Genomic DNA, 19,626 nt, shown 5'->3' on the forward strand with positions numbered 1-19,626 from the left:
TGGTACTGAACACTCCCACATCCTCCTTGAGACTGAACCTCACTAGCCCACTCAGAAGTGGAGAGATGCCTTTTCCACCCTGCCATTCTCTTTATAACAGTCCTTTATAAAAATAATTCATTCAGCCCCTCCTCAGACACTATCTCTGAGACCAGGTCGAGGAGCACTGTACAAGGCTGACTCCCCATTCCCCCATCTGGTAGCATCTGACCAAACCATTCCCACATCCACCTTCCACCAGCATACCTCCCTGCAAATCCACTCCTGGATGTTCACCTCCCCTTTACCAGACACATCCAGTCATACATGGATAAATCCCTGATGGGTTTGAGCTGGGACCACACACTCAAACACACATGCGTGCATGCATACATATGTACACACAAGTATGTGCTCACATCATTACTACCACAACCTCTGCAAGAGTGCACAAGAAATGAGAAAAATGATCACTGATTAACACCTCCAATGTGTCACATAGTTTATACTTAACTCCTTTACTCCTGAAGAAAACCCTACAAATAGGCCTGATTCTCATTTACAGGTGAGAAAACTGAGGTGCATATTTCTGTGACTGGCTCTAGCTTACACAGTAAAGAAACAATAAGATCAAGATCTTAAGTCAGGTCTACAGAATACCAAAATCCATATCCTTCCCCTACCACGTTGTCTTTCAACCTATATGAACAACCTATATGAACAGCATTTTATTCTTGTCTTGGCACTATTTCTTATTGTCCTAGTAAGATTGAATAAACTGTTATTTCTAAGCCTTCTTATATATTTGAGTGCCAAAGAGTACCGTCTTCTGGTGAGTGGCCCCTAGATTTCAGCTTAGAGACTACCTAAAAATAATCATAAGCAGTGTGCTGTTTCATGCTTCTATATTGTTTTCCAAAGATTTACATTGTTATTACAAGAGGGGCATACTGGAGGATAGCCCCTGGAGGTGATATCGTCTGGGATCTGGAGGCGATTGAGCATTGCTGTTGAGAACACAAACTTTGGCACTGAGCACAGCCTTGGGAAAGGAATTTTCCATGTGCACATTGTAGCTGCATTGTAGCTGGGAGTGTGGGTAATGGCCAGCACACGACTCACGGCCAAGCCAGGCCAACCCTGTAGAATCTTAGCAGCAGTATGGATTTGGAGAGGAGGGAGAGGTTGGGGAAGGCAGAGAGATTAGCCATTGCAATGAATGGTCCCCGTGAGAGGTGATGGGTGGTGATTCTCTAGTTCTGGGTCAAGGCTTCCCGTACTTGAAGGGCAAATGTGAGTAGCAGAGCTGCGGGAAATGAGGAATGCTGTTTCTAGGAAATGAATGTCCTCCTGGCATTCCCAGTCACTGTCCTTTAAGTTTGATGAGGCTGCCCCATGTTCTCAGACAACCAGGTCTGCTCTCAATAGCTGAGCCTTCAGCTACCTTGTTCACCACTTCATCCCTGGTGTCTGTGCATAGTAGGTGCTCAATAAAGACTTGCTGAATGAATGAACAAATCAAATAGATCAATTTAAGAATATATTATAAATTTCACCTGCACAAAGTCTTTCTTCTAATGACCATGTTAATACGGTGCAAGGCTGAAAACTTCAATGCATTTTATTTAGAAAATATTTTATAATATTAAGAAAACAGTATTACAGAATGATTAGGAATTGAAGGAGAAATAAATACTCATAATCACCCCTTTCCAGAGCAACTATTATTACACCATGTTTCCCTTGAATATTTGGTCAAGTGCTCCTGTAATTTTACATGTGTCCATTTATATGTGCATTTCATTTTGTTTCTTCTGTGTGTGTGTGTGAGTTTCACTGCAGGACATTGTACCATAGTATCTCCATGTCACAACCTAATCTACATAAACATTTTACATTACCTCATTGCATAGCCTTAAAGTGAGGCCTTCGCAAATTCAACTCCTGTATCATCTCTGTTTCTCTTCCAAGGACTTTTTGGAACATGCGGGAATTTCTGCTTTTCTTTTTTTTTTTTTTGAGACGGAGTCTCACTCTGTCACCCAGGCTGGAGTGCAGTGGCGCAATCTGGGCTCACTGCAACCTCCACCCCTCCAGGTTTAAGCAATTCTCTGCCTCAGCCTCCGGAGTAGCTGCTGAGATTACAGGCGCGTGCCACCATGCCCGGCTAATTTTTTTGTATTTTTAGTAGAGACGGGGTTTCACCATCTTGGCCAGGCTGGTCTTGAGCTCCTGACCTCGTGATCCACCTGCCTCGTCCTCCCAAAGTGCTGGGATTACAGGCATGAGCCACTGCACCCGGCCCATCTTTTAAACAAAACTCTCTCTTTCTATATACATTTCCTTCTGCTTCCATTCACAGCAGAACTTCTCTCAACTGTTGTCTATCTCCCATTCATGGTCTTCCCCATTCTTCTCCTCCCCTTCTCTCTTGAACTTATTCTATGCAGGTTTTTGTCCTCACCATTCCACAAACTGCTCTTGTCAAGGTCCTCAATGATGTTAATGATGCTAAACCCAATGTTCAGTTTTCAGATGTCATCTTACTTGACATCTGTCAATAGCATTTAACATCATCCCTCCCTCCCTCCTTCTTGAATCCTGTTCTTCTCTTGAGTTCCAAGAAAACTCACCTGGTTTCTTCTCATATCCTTGACTGCTTCCTTTCAGTCTCCTCAAACTCCAGATGTTGGCATGTTCAACAGTTAAGTCCACAGAGCTCATCTTTCCTCTGTCCATACTCACTCCTTTGAGATACTATCCATGCTCCTGCTATCTGTGTGCCACCAAAGACTCCCCATTCTCTATCTGCACCTAGATCTTTCCTCTGAACTGTGGACTCTTATGCCAACTGTCCACTCAACATGACAACCTGGATCACTAATAGGCATCACAACCTTCATGTGTCCAAAAATGAAGCTCCAGGCTGGACATGGTGGCACATAACTGTAATCCCAACACTTTGGGAGGCCGAGGCAGAAGGATCACTTGAGACCAGGAGTTTGAGACTAGCCTAGACATCATAGCAAGACCCTATGTCTACAAAAAAATATATATAGCCAGGCATGGTCGTACATGCCTGTAGTCCTAGCTACTTGGGAGGCTGAGGTGGGAGAGTCACTTGAGCCTAGAAGGTCGAGGCTGCGGCGCGCTGTGATTGCATCACTGCACTCCAGCCTGGGTGACAGAATGAGACCCTGTCTCTAAAAAAAGTTTTAAAAATAATGAAAAATAAAAAGAAAGAAACTCCTGACTCTTCACTCTTAACCTTCTCTCATAGTCTTCTCCAGCTCAGGAAGTGGAAATTCTGTCTTTTCCAGTTGCCCAGACAGAAGCTCTTGTCATGTTGATTCTTCTCTTTTTTTTTTTTTTTTTTTTTTTTTTTTTGAGACGGAGTCTCGCTCTGTCGCCCAGGCTGGAGTGCAGTGGTGTGTTCTTGGCTCACTGCAAGCTCTGCCTCCCAGGTTCGCGCCATTCTCCTGCCTCAGCCTCCCGAGTAGCTGGGACTACAGGCACCCGCCACCGCGCCCGGCTAATTTTTTTATTTTTAGTAGAGATGGGGTTTCACCATATTAGCCAAAATGGTCTCAATCTGACCTCGTGATCCACCCGCCTCGGCCTCCCAAAGTGCTGGGATTACAGGTGTGAGCCACTGCACCCAGCCAGTCCACAGATTTGTTGATCTGTCAACTAATCCAATGGCTCTTTCTAAAAATACATGTAAAATCCAACCATTTCTCATCTCCTCCACTAGTTAAAGCCACCATCCTATCCCACCTGAATTGCTTCAAGAGCATCCCAATGTCATTTAGCTTTGTCCCCCATAGTTTATTCTCAATGCAGCAGCCAGAGTGGGTGCCTATTAACCTATGTCACATTTTGTCATTTCTCTGTGCAAAAGGTTCCAGCGGCATACCAACACACAAGGAATGAAGCCACTGTCACCCACAGAAGGAAACCACTGTCCCCACGATGGCCTGCAAGGCCTCCACATCCAGCACCCCACAGCTAGACCTCATAGACCTCACTTACTGCTCCCCTCCTGGGTCTCTCCACTGCCCTCAAACATTCTGCTTCTACCACAGGACCTTGACACTTGCTGATTTCTCTGCTTGGAATGTTCTTTCCAAAGACCTTTAGAGTCTTTTGGGTATTTGTTCAAATGTGAGGCCTTCCCTGACTATTCCAGTGAAAACTGCAACACAGTCCCTGGCTTCATATTCTCCTGGTTCACCTCGTGTGTCTCCATGTGAGCTACTGTATAATTTACTTATTTTTCTTGTATTCTGGGCCTCTCCCTGGGGCAATATTTTTTATTTTCTTTCTTTCTTTTTTTTTTTTCCCACTGCTTTCTACCCAATGCCTAGAACAGTGTCTGACATGCAATGTTTGTTGAATGAATTGATCTGAGATCTGGTGTCTGAGAGTTGAAAGTCTTGCCCACGAGATGTGAGAAGGCAGAGCACGATGAGAGGATTGCGGGCTGCCCCCTGTGCCTTGCCTGTTTGTTCATCGCAAAGCAATCCAGCTGTCTCCATCTGTTCACAGGACACACCTGTGAGTGCCACATCGGGGAAGAATGTTTGACATCCCTGAACTCATGCTACTCAGCAGCAGAGGGCCTGCAGCATGGTCGTTACTTATTAAATATTTAAGTTCATTAACACACAAGAAAAGGGCTCCTGAAAATAGTCTGGAAGCACTCAGGACCGACTTTATCTCTTTCCCAGTTTTGCCTTGGGCCAGCTGTGTGCTAAATTTATTCACTTATTTACTCAGCCAGTCAATAAATGCAGCTCTGTAAATCATGTGATTGTTATTATTGTAAACAGTGTTTCTCAAAAAGCAAGTGGAAAGGGCAATTCCTCTAATGCTTTTTCCCTAAGAGTTTTTGTTCCAAGTAGAAACTTCAATGCCCTTATCCAATCAGCACAAATCCCAAATGCACTATCTGGCCAAGCGCATCGAGTTTTTAGCTCGCCACCCCCTCCAGAAGTTTGGAGAACATTTCCCTGAAGAAAGCCCTACCTCATCCCTTAAGTGCATTGGCAGTTGCTTACGGCCCAGGGCAGATGTGTGGTCATTCACAGTTAAGTGGGTGCAGGCCGGTTAGTGGACAGACAACATGAAATATGCACAAATGAGCCAACAAGCCAACAGTGGAAACCCCAGAGTGGTGCAATGGCTGTGTCTGCCCCAATCACTCGCTTTTTTCTTCATTTCCTAGCACCTCTTCATAGCTGCACTAACCATCTGATTCGCATTATAATCTGTGCTTTATACATCAAACAGCAAGAGATAGGCTGAGAAGCTCATCCTGCCCATCAGTGAGTGGTGTTGCCCTTCATGATTGTATTAGTCTGTTCTCACACTGCTAATAAAGACATACCTCAGACTGGATTTCAATGGACTCACAGTTCCACATGGCTGGGGAGGCCTCACAATCATGGCAGAAGACAAAGGAAGAGCAAAGCGACGTCTTACATGGCAGCAGGCAAGACAGAATGAGAGTCAAGCGAAAGGGGAAACCCCTTATAAAATCATCAAATCTCCTGAGATTTATTCACTACCACAAGATCAGTATGGGGAAAACTGCCCGCATGATTCAATTATCTCCCATGGGGCACCTCCCACAACACGTGGGAATTATGGGAGCTGCAATTAAAGATGAGATTTGGGCGGGGACACGGCCAAACCATATCAGTGGTCATCCACATCTTGTCACCTTTTCAGTTGTTGGCTCCTGAGTGTGGCCGAGTGTGGCTACTTTAAGGGAAGTTCAGTAGCAGGAGATAGTTTGGCCACCGCTTTCTACTTAGATTGAGAGCAGTTGACTCCATCGTTCAAGTGTCCATCTTGGGGAAGAATTGATTTCAGAGGCAGACGAACCTGCCATCTTCATACCTGTTCATTCCTTACACCAGAAAAACCCATTCCAACTGTGCTTTTTGTCTGTGTCTATTTGGTTCTTTGGGACTTACTTTGAATTGTCGTATTTTGCAGGTATGCAGTACCTGTGATTGTTTAAGTAAAAAGGATTGTGTAAGTAAAAAAGATGAAACTGTGGATATATGCGCCAACGTGGATGCTCTCAAATGCATTAAGCCAGGTCAGTGGTCCTCAATCAGGAGTGATTTTGCCCCCCAGGGGGCATTTTGCGATGCCTGAAGACATCTGTGGTTGTGACAACTGGGGAGAGAGGTGTTACTGGAATCTAGTGGGTGGATACCAGAGATACTGCTAAACATTCTATAGTGCACAGGACAGGCCGGCACAGCAAAGAATGATCTGGCCCACCATGTCAACAGCGCCAGGGTGAGAAACCCTGTGCCAAGTGAAAGAAGCAGACTCCATTTATATGACATTCTGGAAAAGGCAAAACCATAGGGATAGAAAATCCATCAGTAATTGCCAGGAGTTGGGGATTAAGTCCAAAGGGGTATAGGGGAATTTGGAGGGTGATGGAAATGTCCTCTCTCTTGACGGTGATGGTGTTTACATTCAGAACTATACAGTTAAAAGGGTGAATTTGACCATATGGAAATTAAACTTATACCTGAAACAGCAAACAAAAACCCAGCTCTGTCTGAACCAAAGAAATTCTGGATAAGGTAGGGAGAAAAAGTAGCCACGAAAGAAACAAATGTGGGTGGGGGAAGAGAGGCTGAAGTGTAAAGAAGAATAAGGGCCGGGTTCAGTGGCTCTCACCTGTAATTTCAGCACTTTGGGGAGGCCAAGGTGGGTGGATCTCTTCAGCCCAGGAGTTTAAGACCAACCGGGGCAACATGAAGAAACCCCATCTCTACCAAAAAAAAAAATTTTTTTTAATTAACCAGGCGTGATGGTGTGCGTGTGTGGTCTCAGCTACTCAGAAGGCTGATGTGGGAGGATTGTTTGAGCCCAGGAGGTTGAGGCTGCAGTGAGCCGTGATCTCACCACTGCACCCCAGTCTGGGCAACAGAGTGAGACCCTGTCTCAAAAAAAAAAAAAAAGAAAGAAAGGAAAAGAAAAAAGAACCATAGAAAGACAGATTTTTGTTTTTCAAAACTAAATTAATTGATTGCCCCTCAGCAAATGATACCTCATCAAAAGCTACTTCTTGTTGTTGCCCGATACTTTTATAAAACAGCTTCAATGAGGTATACTTACCATGCAATGAACTGCACAACTTTAAAATGTTCCATTTGGTCAGTTTTGACCTATGCATATACCTGTTAAACAATTATCACAATCATAATAAACATATCCAACATTCTTAAAAGCTTCTTCTCGTCTTTTTGCAATCTTTCCCTCTCATTCCTCCCCTAAAAACAGTAGTACTGATCACATTGGGTTGTTGTGAGAATTTAAATAAGATTCAAGCATAGAGAGAGCCATGTTATATACACACTTTGTTTTCTGTCTTTAGGTGGGGGAAGCCATTGTCTAGTGAAAAAGACCTGAATTCCGTGCCCAGATCACTGCTTACTCTTGGTACAGGGCTGGAGTGGAGTTGAGGATTGCATAAGTGTTGCAAGCAAAGAGAATGTGCTAATAAATGCATATTGAATGAACAAATGAACAAATCCACCAGATCTATGTGCTCAAAAATCTAACTTAGAGACAAGAACAAGTAAAATAAATTGATACAAATAAGAGGCATTATATAATCATGTGGCACTACATACATGTACATATTATTAAATAGGTCTCAAATTGATATTGTTTTCTTTCCCACAAAACACATTCTTCTTCCTGAAGATCCTTATTTGTGGCTGGTGTCCATTTAGCCACCCAAACCAAATCACCCATCCTCAATTTCCCATTCACCCTCAACTAATCTGGCTCAAGTCGATAGGCACACAGTCCTGTTTATTTGACTTCATCTCTTGGTTTTTGTTTTTGTTTCTTTTTTTGTTTTTTGTTTTTTTGAGATAGGGTCTCCCTTTGTCACCCAAGCTGGAGTGCAGTGGTGTAATCTGGACTCACTGCAGCCTCCACCTCTCCAGCTCAAGTGATCCTCCCACCTCAGCCTCCTGAGTAGCTGGGACCACAGGTGCACACCACCACACCTGACTAGGTTTTGTCTTTTTTGTCGAGACAGGGTTTTGCCAAGTTTCCCAGGCTGGTCTCGAACTCCTGGACTAAAGAGATCCTCCTGCCTCAGCCTCCCAAAGTGTTGGGATTACAGGCGTGAGCCACCGTGCCTGGCTTTTGACTTCATTTCTTGATGCTTCTATGTCCTCTTCATCTCCACGGCAGTTCCAGCTCCCATTACATCTCACAGCACTGAAGCTGGCCTCCACCTCCGGCCTTTCTACTCTGCAGGATAAGTCTTTCCTAAAAATCCTGGTCCTTCCCCACTTCTCCAATAACTCTTTATTACCCCCCTCCAAGGCAAAGCGCCACCTCCCCAAGTACAAAATATTTTATTACCTGGACTAAATCTACCTTGTCAGTCTCTCACCCACACTTGAAGTCTTAGCCAGGCCTATGAATTCACCTTTTCCTCAATATACCACAATTGTTCCTCTCCCCACATCTTTTTTCTTGTTAATTTTAAAAAATTGTAATAAAATATACATTTCATAAAATATATCATTTTAACCATTTTTACGTAGACAGCTCAGTGATATTAAGTACATTCACACTGTTGTGCAACCATTCCCACCATCCATCTCCGGAACTTTTTCATCTTCCCCAACTGAAATCTTATGCCCATCAAACAAAAGCATTCTCCCTTCTCTCAAGCCCCTGGAAACCATTCTACTTTCTGTCTCTATGAATTTTACTACTCCAGATAATCCATATAAGTGGAAGCATACACTATTTGTTTTTTTGTGTCTGGCTTATTTCACATAAGGTCTTTGAGATTCATCCATATTTAACATGTGTCAGATTTCATTCACTTTTATGGCTGAATAATATTCCGTTGTAGGCATGGCCCATATTTTGTTTATCCAGTCAGCCATCGATGAAAAGTTGGGTTGTTTCCATCTTTTCACCCTTATGAATAATCCTGCTATGAACATTGGTGTACAAACCCTGTTCAAATCTCTGCTTTCTTTCCCCTGGAACCTTTATTGCATGTTCCTTCTGGCTAGAGAGTCAGCCTGGAGGCATCTTCCACCCCTCTTTCTGAAGAACTCCTATTCATTAAACAAAAACAAACAAACAAACAAACAAAAAACACCTCATCTCTCAAAAGTCCATTTTCTAATTTAATCAAAGACAGGTAGCCTTGACTTCCTCTGCATCTTCCTAGCCTTACATACTATGCCCTCTTATGGTCCTTATTTCACTGAATCACAATCACTTGTGCCATTGCCTTCCTCCCTTGCTAAACTGTACTTTAGTGAAAAGGGAGCTTACCTTGTAATCTTTCTCCTCCAGATATCATGCCTAGGCCACTGTCAGAACTTCATAAATATGTGAGAAGAAATAGTTTAAGGACTACCTCTGGGTTCTTCAGTCCCAACCTCTCTAGGGACTCAAGGAATATTATCAACTAATGCTGATTTTTATTGTTTGTTGGCTCCAGGATAAAGATCTAGCACAGATTTCTGACCTTCGAAGTATTTTCTGGCTGCCACAGGGTCTTATTTCCCTGGAGGTCACTGAGGAGATGAATCACCATGGTTAGACCCTCTGAAATGCAACTTCTTTGAATCCTATTACTCATCTACCTACACAGCCCTGGTGGGAAGGCTCGAGCCAGCTGAGCTTTCATTTACACCTTCAGCCAGGCAGACTGAAACCTTTCTAATCATGCCAAAGTGGAGGACCAGGGGAGCAGAGTGAACATGAGTTGAAATGAGCTCTCAACTTCAGAATTAAAAAGCATTTTCTCAGCCTTTCTAAGGACCATGTTGCTAAAGGTACAGACTTTAATAGTTATAAGAAAGCCATTGAGAAACCTAAAAGACAGGTCTTGGCTCCCCATCCACTCCCCTCTTTCCCATTTTCTTGGCTCTGCTCCTTCCCTGCCAGCTCCATCTTTCTTTCCTGAGTATCCTAGTGTGTGGCCTTGGCCTTCCTTTTGCCTATGATCCCAACTCACACAAAGGAGAAAGCATCTCTCAGCTGCCTTGGATGATGATGTGTTCAGCACATCACAGTGTGTGGCTTTCATTTGTTTATCCTTTTGTTCATTGACCTCACCTCTTGTGCTCCATGCTGGAGGAATCCAGATATCTGCTCACATTTGAGAGGTGGGAGCAGGAAGCTTGTGCTGCCCCCCGACAATGAGGGAAGCACACGCATGCAGGCATGTGCACGTGCACACTTTGAAAAAAGTTCAGTCACGTCCTAGTAAAGTTCAAGTGCAATTTCCCATCTGGATCTATTTAAGTCCAGAATGGGTTGAGGAGTTTAGTGTAGACTCCTAGGATAACTGAACTCATCCTCAGATCATATTAACCTCTAAAATATTGGGACTAACCCCACAGTCACCTTTCAGCCTGCAAAGCGCACCTGAGAAGGTAGTCTTGTGTCCTGAGCTTCTGGCTTCCTCTTGCTGCCCTCCCCACCCCACTCCACAAGGGGACTGCCCTTTGGCTGTTGGTCACTATCTGCTTCATCAGCCCCACAACTGGATGGGTCAGAAGGAGGAGGAATAAAATGCTAAGATGGAAGTTTGTTCTGAGATTGGAATGTCTTCAAAACCTTCTAGGTATGTCTCCAGGTGTAAAAGACAAATCCACTAGCAGAGTTTTGGCACATAAGCGTGCCATAGAATCTTTTCTTGAGTTCTATTACAACAATATTCAGTTCCCTTAGCCCTGGAGGCAGCAACTCCAGGAAGTCAGGGAGGAGAAGCAAGAAGGGAAGAAAAGTCCATTCTCTTCATGAGGAAGACAGAGTGCAGGGAGACTGGACTGAGACGAGGAGACCATCTAGGAGGCAGCCGTCAAAACTGTGAGGCTCTGAACTAAGGCAGGGGCTCTAGGTGTCAGGTCTAGATAACTGGGTGATTGGCTAAGAAAGACTAGAAAACATTTTAGGAAAAAATAATGACCAGTTTGTGCTATGTTGAGTTTGGGCTGGCGCCATCAAATCTTAACCTATCTTCTGCCTGGGCATGTCCCTGCTCTTGTCCCCTATGGTCTGTTTTCCACATGATAGACTGATCACCTCTAATCAGGGGCTTCCCAGTCCTCTAGGCTATAGTCCAAAGTCCTTAATGTGGCTTACGGTACCTTGCATGCATTGCTCCTGCCAACCCTCCAGCTTATTTGTTTATAGTCTATCTTTCCTATAGGAAGCTCCATGAGGCCAGGAAGGATGTCGCTCTTATTCTTAGATTCATTTGCAATGCCCAGCACATAATTGGTTCTAGAGATAAAGGGAGAAGAGAGAGACTGAGAGAGAGAGAAAGTAAAGAATGAATAATGTCCAACTGGAGACTCTGGCAGATAATTTGAGCTATAAATTTGGGGCCTTTAACATTAAAAAGGTATATGAAGACATGGAAGTAAACGAATTTGTGTATTTTCAGAAAAGATGAAACCTTGGGGAACAACGACATTCTAGGTGGTCACATGAATGAGGAAGGATAAGCAACCCTAAATGAGGCTGCCTGAGAACAAGCTGCTAAAGACACAGGCGGGGAACTGGCCAAGAACACAGGGCAATAGGAAGGAGTGCAGTGTGGGAAGGACTGACAGGAGGCCACATGAGATAGAAGAACAAGGCCAATGACACCAAAAGAAAATGGTCAAACAACTTCAGAGCACGGGACACTCTACAAAACAATCAGGATGATCTCTTTATTTATGTATTTGAGATAGGGTCTCACTCTGTCACTCAGGCTGGAGTACAGTGTATGATCATAGTTCACTGCAACCTCAAACTCCTGGGCTCAAATGATCCTCCCAAGAAGCTAGGACTACAGGTGTGCACCACCACATGTGGCTAAATTTTTAAATATTTTATAGAAATGGGGTCTCAGTTTGTTGATCAGACTGGTCTTGAACTCCTGGCTTTGAGCGATCCTCCTGCCTTGGCCTCCCAAAGTGCTGGGAATCCAAGTGTGAGTCCTGGCCAGGACTTTTTTTTTTTTTTCATCATTGTTATTTTTAAAAAGAAGCTAAAAAGGGTCAATCACAAAAATATTTTTGATTGGATCTTGGTTCATAAAAAAATTAAACTTAAAGTTAGCTGTGTGGATATCTGCAGAAAGAGCCTTACAAAGGAGAGGAAGAGTCAATGCAAAGGTTCCAAAAGGGGACCCTGCCCAGCCTGTTCAAGGAAAGGCAAGGAGGCCAGTGTGGCCAGAGGAGGGTGAGCAAGTTGCCGGAAGGTAGAATTCATAAGGTCTTGGATGCAATTGGTAAAGACTTTGAACTTGACTCAACTTTTGGCATATTTAGTTTGAAATATCTATGTAACACCCAAGTGGAGATGTTGAGCAGACAGCTGGGTATGCAAGTCTGAAATTCAAGGGAGGTCAGGTGTGGTGGCTCACATCTGTAATGCCAGCACTTTGGAAGGCTGAGGTGGGCAGATCGCTTGAGCCCAGGAGTTTGAGACCAGCCTGAGCAATATAACGAGACCCCATTTCTACAAAAAATTTAAAATTTAACTGGGTGTGGTGGTGCACACCTGTAGTCCCAGCTATTTGGGAAGCTGAGGTAGGAGGATTGCTTGAGCCCAGAAGGTCTTTAGTGAGCCTCATGCCACTGTACTCCAGCCTGGGTGACAGAGTGAGACTCTGTCTCAAAAAAAAAAAAAAAAAAAAAAAAAAATCAGGGGAGAAGCCATGAAAGGAGACAAAAAAATTTGGGAGTCATCAGCAAATTAGATGATTTCAAAGCCATAAAACTAGATGAGATCACAGAGGGAATGAGGATAAGGAAGAGAAAAGGGCCAAGGAGTGAGCACTGGGCCTTCCAAGGCAAGAGGTCAGGAGAAAAGTAGGGATCAGCCGAGGTGGCTCTGAAGGACTGGCCAGTGTGAGGGAAGGGAACCTACAGAAAGCGGTGCCCTGGAAGCCGAGTGTGGACTGGGGAGGTGATCATCTGGGTCCCCTGCTGGGTCAAAAATGAGGCCTGAGGCCTGGGTTAATCCACACAGAGGCGCAGCTGACCTTGACCTCGGCAGGGCAGTTTTTGAGTGGAGGGAAGTAGTAAAGGCCTGCCAGGATGAGGCCTGGGAGAGACTAGGAAGAGAGCCATTGGAAACAGTGCGTAGAGCAGAGTTGTGGGGGTGTCACAGACAAAGGGGGGCAGGGGGTCAAGAGAAGTTTGGGGCTTTTTGATTTCTTCCTCTTTTTGCTTTAAGATTGGAAAAGAGATGGCCAGTCCATAACGTTGATGGGACTGAGTGAGTCAATGAAGGAGCGCATGAGGGAGTGAGTGACTGAGGGCAGATACAGGGTCAAGCGAAGTTTCCGCCATCTGAGAGAGGTCTGAGCAGGAGTCCCAGGACATGGGAGATTGCCCTGGAGAGTGGATTCACAGAGACGGGTGGGGGTGCTGTCTGTCCGCAGTCGTTGCCTTGAGGGGCCCTTTGTTTGCTACCCTCTTGTTGAATCTGGCTGTCCCCACAGCTACTTTGCCTGGGGCCCAACTAGGGCAGAGATACAAATACGCCAGGCCATGGCCCCATAAAGTCTGGCCTCAAGGCTGCAGCCCATTTGGAAAACGTTTTAATTTCACTTGCGTGTTTTTTCAATTTGATTATTAAGTGCCGTTTACACATGGACGGGGAAAGCCTGTTTTCATTCGCTGATTCCCCTTCCTCCCTGGCCTGCGTGCCTCCCTGGTGAGTAATGGGGAGGCTGCTTTTCTGGAACACAAGGGAAAACTTCCAGCAAATTGCAAAAGCATGTTCCTTCCTTGAAAAATCCTTTCACACTTGTTTTTTACTCCGTTTGTAAAGTTCATGAAAAGCCTCCATAAAAGTGCTTTAAAAAACCTAAACTTTCTTTGTTCTCCACGTTCAACTTTCTTTTTCTCTCTTAAGAGGGTATATAATTTCAAGGGATAACAAACAAAACATCAAACCTAGGGAGCAAGTGGCGAGATGAAGGAATGAAGCAAACTTTAGAAATGTCGGAGGATCACAGGTTGGAGGTGCCAGTGAGGGGGAAATTTCCACATGTGTTTTCAGAAGATGAGAATCCGGCACTCCCCGACTGGCCCCATCATCGCTCAGATTTGTTTCTGAAGTTATTAACATTTCACGCAAGGCTGGGGCAGCTGGGCAGACAGAAAGACTGAAATAATAAAGGCTCAGGAAGAGCGACACATCCTTTTAGGTACATTTCAGCAGCCTCAACTATCAGGGGTGCAGGAGATGGGAGCATAGGAAACGGTGCTGCCAAGAATTTGCAAAGAAGGTTTCCCTCCTGAAGGCCAGAGTGGGGTCATCCGATCAGAGAAATACAGAAGGTTCTTAAAGGGGATGGAGGCCATATAAGGAGTTTCCCTCTGCAGAGACAGACTCCATTCTGGTTTGGGTTTGATGAGACAGCTAGAAAAGAGCTGAGAGGATGGGGTTCCCACCAGCCTCGAGGGACTGTCCTGGAGAGCCTCATGGGGGTAGCCAGGGGAAGTGCCGTGGGGTTCTGTGGGCAATGTTTGGGGACTGGGTGGCATGCCTTAGCCAGCTATTGATCTAATTCTGGTCACTGTCCTGGTGTCTGAGTCCATCTAGGGCTGCATGTCTGGTGTATCTGTCCCTAGCCCTCTGGGCTCCAACGTTGGCAAAGTAACACTGGTGGGCTCCCCTCCCCACTCCCATTTCTCTCTCTGCAGCACCTGCTTCCCCCCTGCATACCCCCTCCTCATCTGCCTCTCTCACCCGCAAGGAAGGACTTCCAAGAAGGGACTGAGAAGAGGCAGAGAGCTGTATTTTCACAAAGGCCTGAGAGGGAGAAATGCTGTTTGTTTGCTTGGTGGGTTCAAGATATGGAGGATGGGCAAGAAGCGGGAGGAATGGAGCCATCTTCAGCTCCTGAAATCCTGGGATGGACACTGTGATTCCAAAGGCCACCATGCCTACCTAACCCAATAATGAGCTCTGGGTGGACAGGGGCCCAGTCTTCATCAGCGCTGTGGGCCCTGGGTTCTGGGATATTGCAATTAGGATGGTGCTTTCCCCAGTAATGGCCACGTGATCAGCAAATAGATCCTTACATCTCTTTGAGCCCCAGATCCCTCCTCTGCCGCAGAGAAAGAACCAGCAGTGCACCCTGCACACACCCTCTTCCTTAGGTACTGGGCTGACCATAGGACTTGCTGTGCCTACTGCTGAGGAAGCTGCCCTGTGGCTCCTCCGCCCTGCCTGGGTGGCCTCCTCTTCTTCCCCAGCTGGCACAGTCGCCTCCTCTCTGTTCCGCCTTTTCCTCGCCCCCTTTCTTTCCCTTCCTCTTTCTACCCCTCTGATCCTCTCTGATCCTTGGATTGCCTGGCAGAAAGCCAGGGGGTAACCCGGAGTTCACCTCAGCAGCCTCAAGCTCAGAAGCGGTTTCATGCTAAGCCATGGCTACCCCAAAGGCCTCTCACCTCATTTACATCCAGGGCTTTTCCTCAGCCACACCCTCGTGGGTACTCCGGAGAGGATGTGACAATCACCATGTCTTTGTGTCAGCCCTAAGTATAACCCCAGCCAAGACAACCTGCTTCTTCCAACACCTGATCTTCTATAGTTACTTCCACTTTGCACATGGAGAAACTGAGGCTCAGAGAGATGAATTTACCTACTCTCCGGAGCATGCACTGCCATAATTATACTCAAGTAAGGAATCACTTGTTAAACGCATCTAATCCCATCTTCTTTCGAAGAACAATGTGGTCAACAGGGTTGCATCAGGGTTGTTAATTAACCTGAACTTCTCTGACCTGGCTTCCTGTATCCCCTCCCTGAGACACCAGCTTCCTCATGCTTCCACTGTTCCTGCTCCACCCCAATTTAGCAAAAGCCTGGCCATGCTTTGGATCTTTCCCTATCCCGGGCTCTACCAGAACCTACTGAGAATGAGCGAGATTGACATAGCTCCCAGCTCCTTGGGTTTTCCTCTTCAATCACTTGAATACATGATGCATTTTTATGTGCTTGCAATGGGACGGCTTCAGCTTTGCAAAATCAAGACTGTCAGCCCCTTTACAGAGAATCTACTCCCTCGATTAACTTGAGGGTATGGAGAACCTAATAAATAAGTTGCATTTAATGCAAAGAAGATCATCACTTTTAACTGTCCCTGTGGAGAAGCCCATGCCAGATCTCTGATTCTTCTCCTGAACTAACTGGTTCTTTGCTGGGAGATGAGTGAAAGCAGAGTTTGTTGAGGCAACCGGGAGGAACTGTCCCCCCCTCCTCTCCACTCCTCCCCCAACCCCCCACCCCTTGGCTCCTGGAAGGCTCTTTTTAGGGCATGCTGGTTTTCATGCACACGATGACTGTTTTGTATCTGGGCTGATAGGCTTGATTGAGCGGTTGCCGCACAGCTGGCACACGCTGCAACACGGCTAGGAGGGGGTGTTTATGGGGCTAGCTGCTAATGATTCCCATTTATGGAACATGTGTGCAGCAGCTGAGTGGGGCTGGCTAAGATAGGACATCAATAAGAGCCCTGCTGCACACACAGGATCTCCTGGACGGCTGCAGGAATGGTTCCAGTGCAAGCTTTGGGGGAACCTGAGGCTCCCCAGAATTCAGGCCCTTCAGTGCTAATCATGCCCTAACAAAGACAGCTATGCTGGGAAAGCTGTGGCCAGGCTGACTGTACAAGGCCAATGAGAAAAAGGATTGCTGGCCGGGCGCAGTGGCTCACGCCTGTAATCCCAGCACTTTGGGAGGCTGAGGCAGGTAGATCACGAGGTCAGGAGATTGAGACCATCCTGGCTAACACAGTGAAACCCCGTCTCTACTAAAAATACAAAAAATTAGCCGGGCATGGTCGTGGGCGCCTGTAGTTCCAGCTACTCGGGAGGCTGAGGCAGGAGAATGGTGTGAACCCGGGAGGCGGAGCTTGCAGTGAGCCCAGATGGAGCCACTGCACTCCAGCCTAGGCGACAGAGCAAGACTCCATCTCAAGAAAAAAAAAAAAAAAAAAAAAAAAGAAAAGAAAAAGAAAAAGGATTGCTGTGATAAGAATTAAAACTCACATTCACTGGGTGCTCACCTTACACCTCGTGCCAGACATCTTGGGAAGCTAGCACATGCGTATTTTTTTCCTTTTGTTTGAGCCTCACAACAAGCTTATGAAGTTGGAACTATTTTTTTGTTTGTTTGATTAATCATGGTACAGAAGAGGAAACACTTGTAGAGATGAAGGACTTCGCCCAAAGCGGCAGAGTTGGGATTTAATCCTGGTGGTCTAACCTCAGAGCCCTGTTCTATAGGTGTGGAAAAGTGAATTCTAGATGTTCACTCAAATCATTTTAGATCATAGTTGACATAAGAGTAAAAGACATGCATTTTGGTATTAGAAAGACCTAGATTGAAGCTCCAGCTTTGCCACTTACAAGTTATATAAACTCCTTAAGCCTTGGTTTCCTCACTAAAAGAGAAGATAATATAGTGTTACCTAGTACTAGAGTGTGGAAAGCCATAGCCCAGTGCCCACCATCGAATAAGCCTCCAGGAAATGTGTAACAATGCGTTCACACCCACAGACCCCAGGGGTCAGTGCACCTGGGGTTCTGAGTATGGACCCCAAGATGCAGGAGCATGCTGGATGGAGCTCAGCTTCTACAACTTTCTCACCCCACCCCTGCCCCACCCTGAGCCTTAATTTCCTCATCAGTAGAATGAGACGGTAATAGGGACTGCTAACAACAGGTGTGTCAGGGACCACACAGAGTGGGATGTCAGGAACAGAGGAGCTTGTATGTACAAAACACATTTTGCATCTTCCAAGGCTCTGGGAAAATGCTACTTGTTGTCTTTGGAAACAAAATCCTATTGGATTTCTCCCTTTTGAGCACAGCCGCCCTGCACATGGCACGTAGTTATAAGCAGAGGGGAAAACAGAAACCCAACCTTCAAAGTTCTTATGTGCTCCAGGGGGAAGATGGGATCAACAAAAATAAAGCGTTCATTAAAAACAAAGTGGCATGTCCACATACACACATGCTTTCAGATAATCACTTACAGCCATGCAGAGACGTGTGCAGGGCCTTGGGGATTTTGCTCGAGTGCCTGGGATGACATCTGCGCGGGTTTGTAGAAGGAGGGGCCATTTGGGGCAGAGGAAGGAAGTTCCCCCCTAGAGAGGGAGCTCCACTTCATTTCCTTCTCATCTTGCCACCAATGCCTCCAGCACACAGTTGGTGCTTAATGTGTGCTTGTGGAATGAGAACAGGAAGTGGAGAGAGCAGGATCCAAGCAGGGGAAGTGGACAGGGTGGCGTGATTCAGAGGTGGGGCAGGCACACCACTAAATGCTGAAGGCATGAGTTTATTCTTCTTGAGTGTTTTCTGCCAGAGGTTGGCCCATGATAGGCCCAGAGGACCTTATTCTCCCCAAAGATATCCTTTGGGGATAAGGAGAGAGAGAGAGGAAGAGAGAGAGAGACTGAGGGAGACAGCGTTCCATTTATGCGTTTTGTTTTATCTCATCTTCGTGTGAACTTTACACACACAAACCCCTCCTAACACTAGATTCCAGTACGAGCAAAAACTGATCCTCTTGGGGCACAGACACTTTGGGTGGCCTCACCCAGATCTATTCTCCCCTTCCTTCTTGTTTACAGCACCCCAGTCTTGTTCAGGAATCACTCCTCAGGGATGGTCACGATGATGGCTTTGTCATGTATTGGTGTGGCTAGGCTGATGGTAGTTTTCTGGAGTCCACTTTCTTGTATGTTTCCAGTTCTGCCACAAGAGATATCTTGCCTGAGATTTGGAGGGCAGAAGTCAAGCTCCAAAGGTCAGGCAGTGTCGCCAGGCTCATTTCATTGTCAGAGTGTGGTGGGCGGGCCTGCAAGTGCTTTGCCTCTGCCTGGATCCTTCTTCAGCATCCTGAAGGCCGTGGCAGAGCTCAGTGACAAAGGACACCCATTTCTCCTGCAGCACATGGAGATCATCCTCATGGGGTCCAGCTTGTCCTTGCTCTTTTCCACTTGACATCCATCTCCTCTTCTCCACTTCCCACCCCATGGACTTCCAGCCACAGCCACAGCACTGTAGAGACAGTTGAACCTGTTCCCACAACTGCAGAGGGTCAAACCTCTGTAACAAATCTCTCATTGCATGTTTATATGTAGAGCCACTTTCTGTCTCTCTATCAAACTCTGACTTATGTAAATACCATATTCCCAGCTTGAGAGTGAATCCTGGTTGGTCTGAGCCAGTTGTGGTTCATTCCCCTTGATGGTGACGGGATCAGGGATGGACATGTGACCTGGGACTCCAATAGTGGAGCCTGGGGGAAAGGCTTCCTAGATCTGAAAAAAAGACACAAAGAAAAGATGGTGCTACTGACGCAGTATCCAGATATCATGCTTGGAATTGAGGCAGCCATTGTAACCAAGCCAGGGGACTACCCAAAGAACCAATCTGAGGACCAAGATAGAAAAGATGGAAACAACCAGTGTTCTCCATGGTATAGTTCAGCTGGGGAGTTAACCTTCCTTGAAACTGCCTACCCCAGCGTTCCAGGTATGGGAGATGTTATGCAGTATCCCCCGTTATGTGTAGGTGATATGTTGCAAGATCCCCC

At 45.9% G+C, this 19,626-nt stretch overlaps 2 annotated features.

Moving 5' to 3' along the window:
* Nucleotides 15,361–15,440: a silencer, noted in NCBI's record as "silent region_15331". NCBI's record gives its function as "represses an Ori minimal core promoter by ATAC-STARR-seq in GM12878 lymphoblastoid cells {active_cell/tissue: GM12878}" and the evidence as "EXISTENCE:reporter gene assay evidence [ECO:0000049][PMID:35858748]".
* Nucleotides 15,461–15,510: a silencer, noted in NCBI's record as "silent region_15332". NCBI's record gives its function as "represses an Ori minimal core promoter by ATAC-STARR-seq in GM12878 lymphoblastoid cells {active_cell/tissue: GM12878}" and the evidence as "EXISTENCE:reporter gene assay evidence [ECO:0000049][PMID:35858748]".

Source organism: Homo sapiens, chromosome 4 (assembly GCF_000001405.40).
Source record: "Homo sapiens chromosome 4, GRCh38.p14 Primary Assembly".
NCBI lineage: Eukaryota > Metazoa > Chordata > Mammalia > Primates > Hominidae > Homo > Homo sapiens.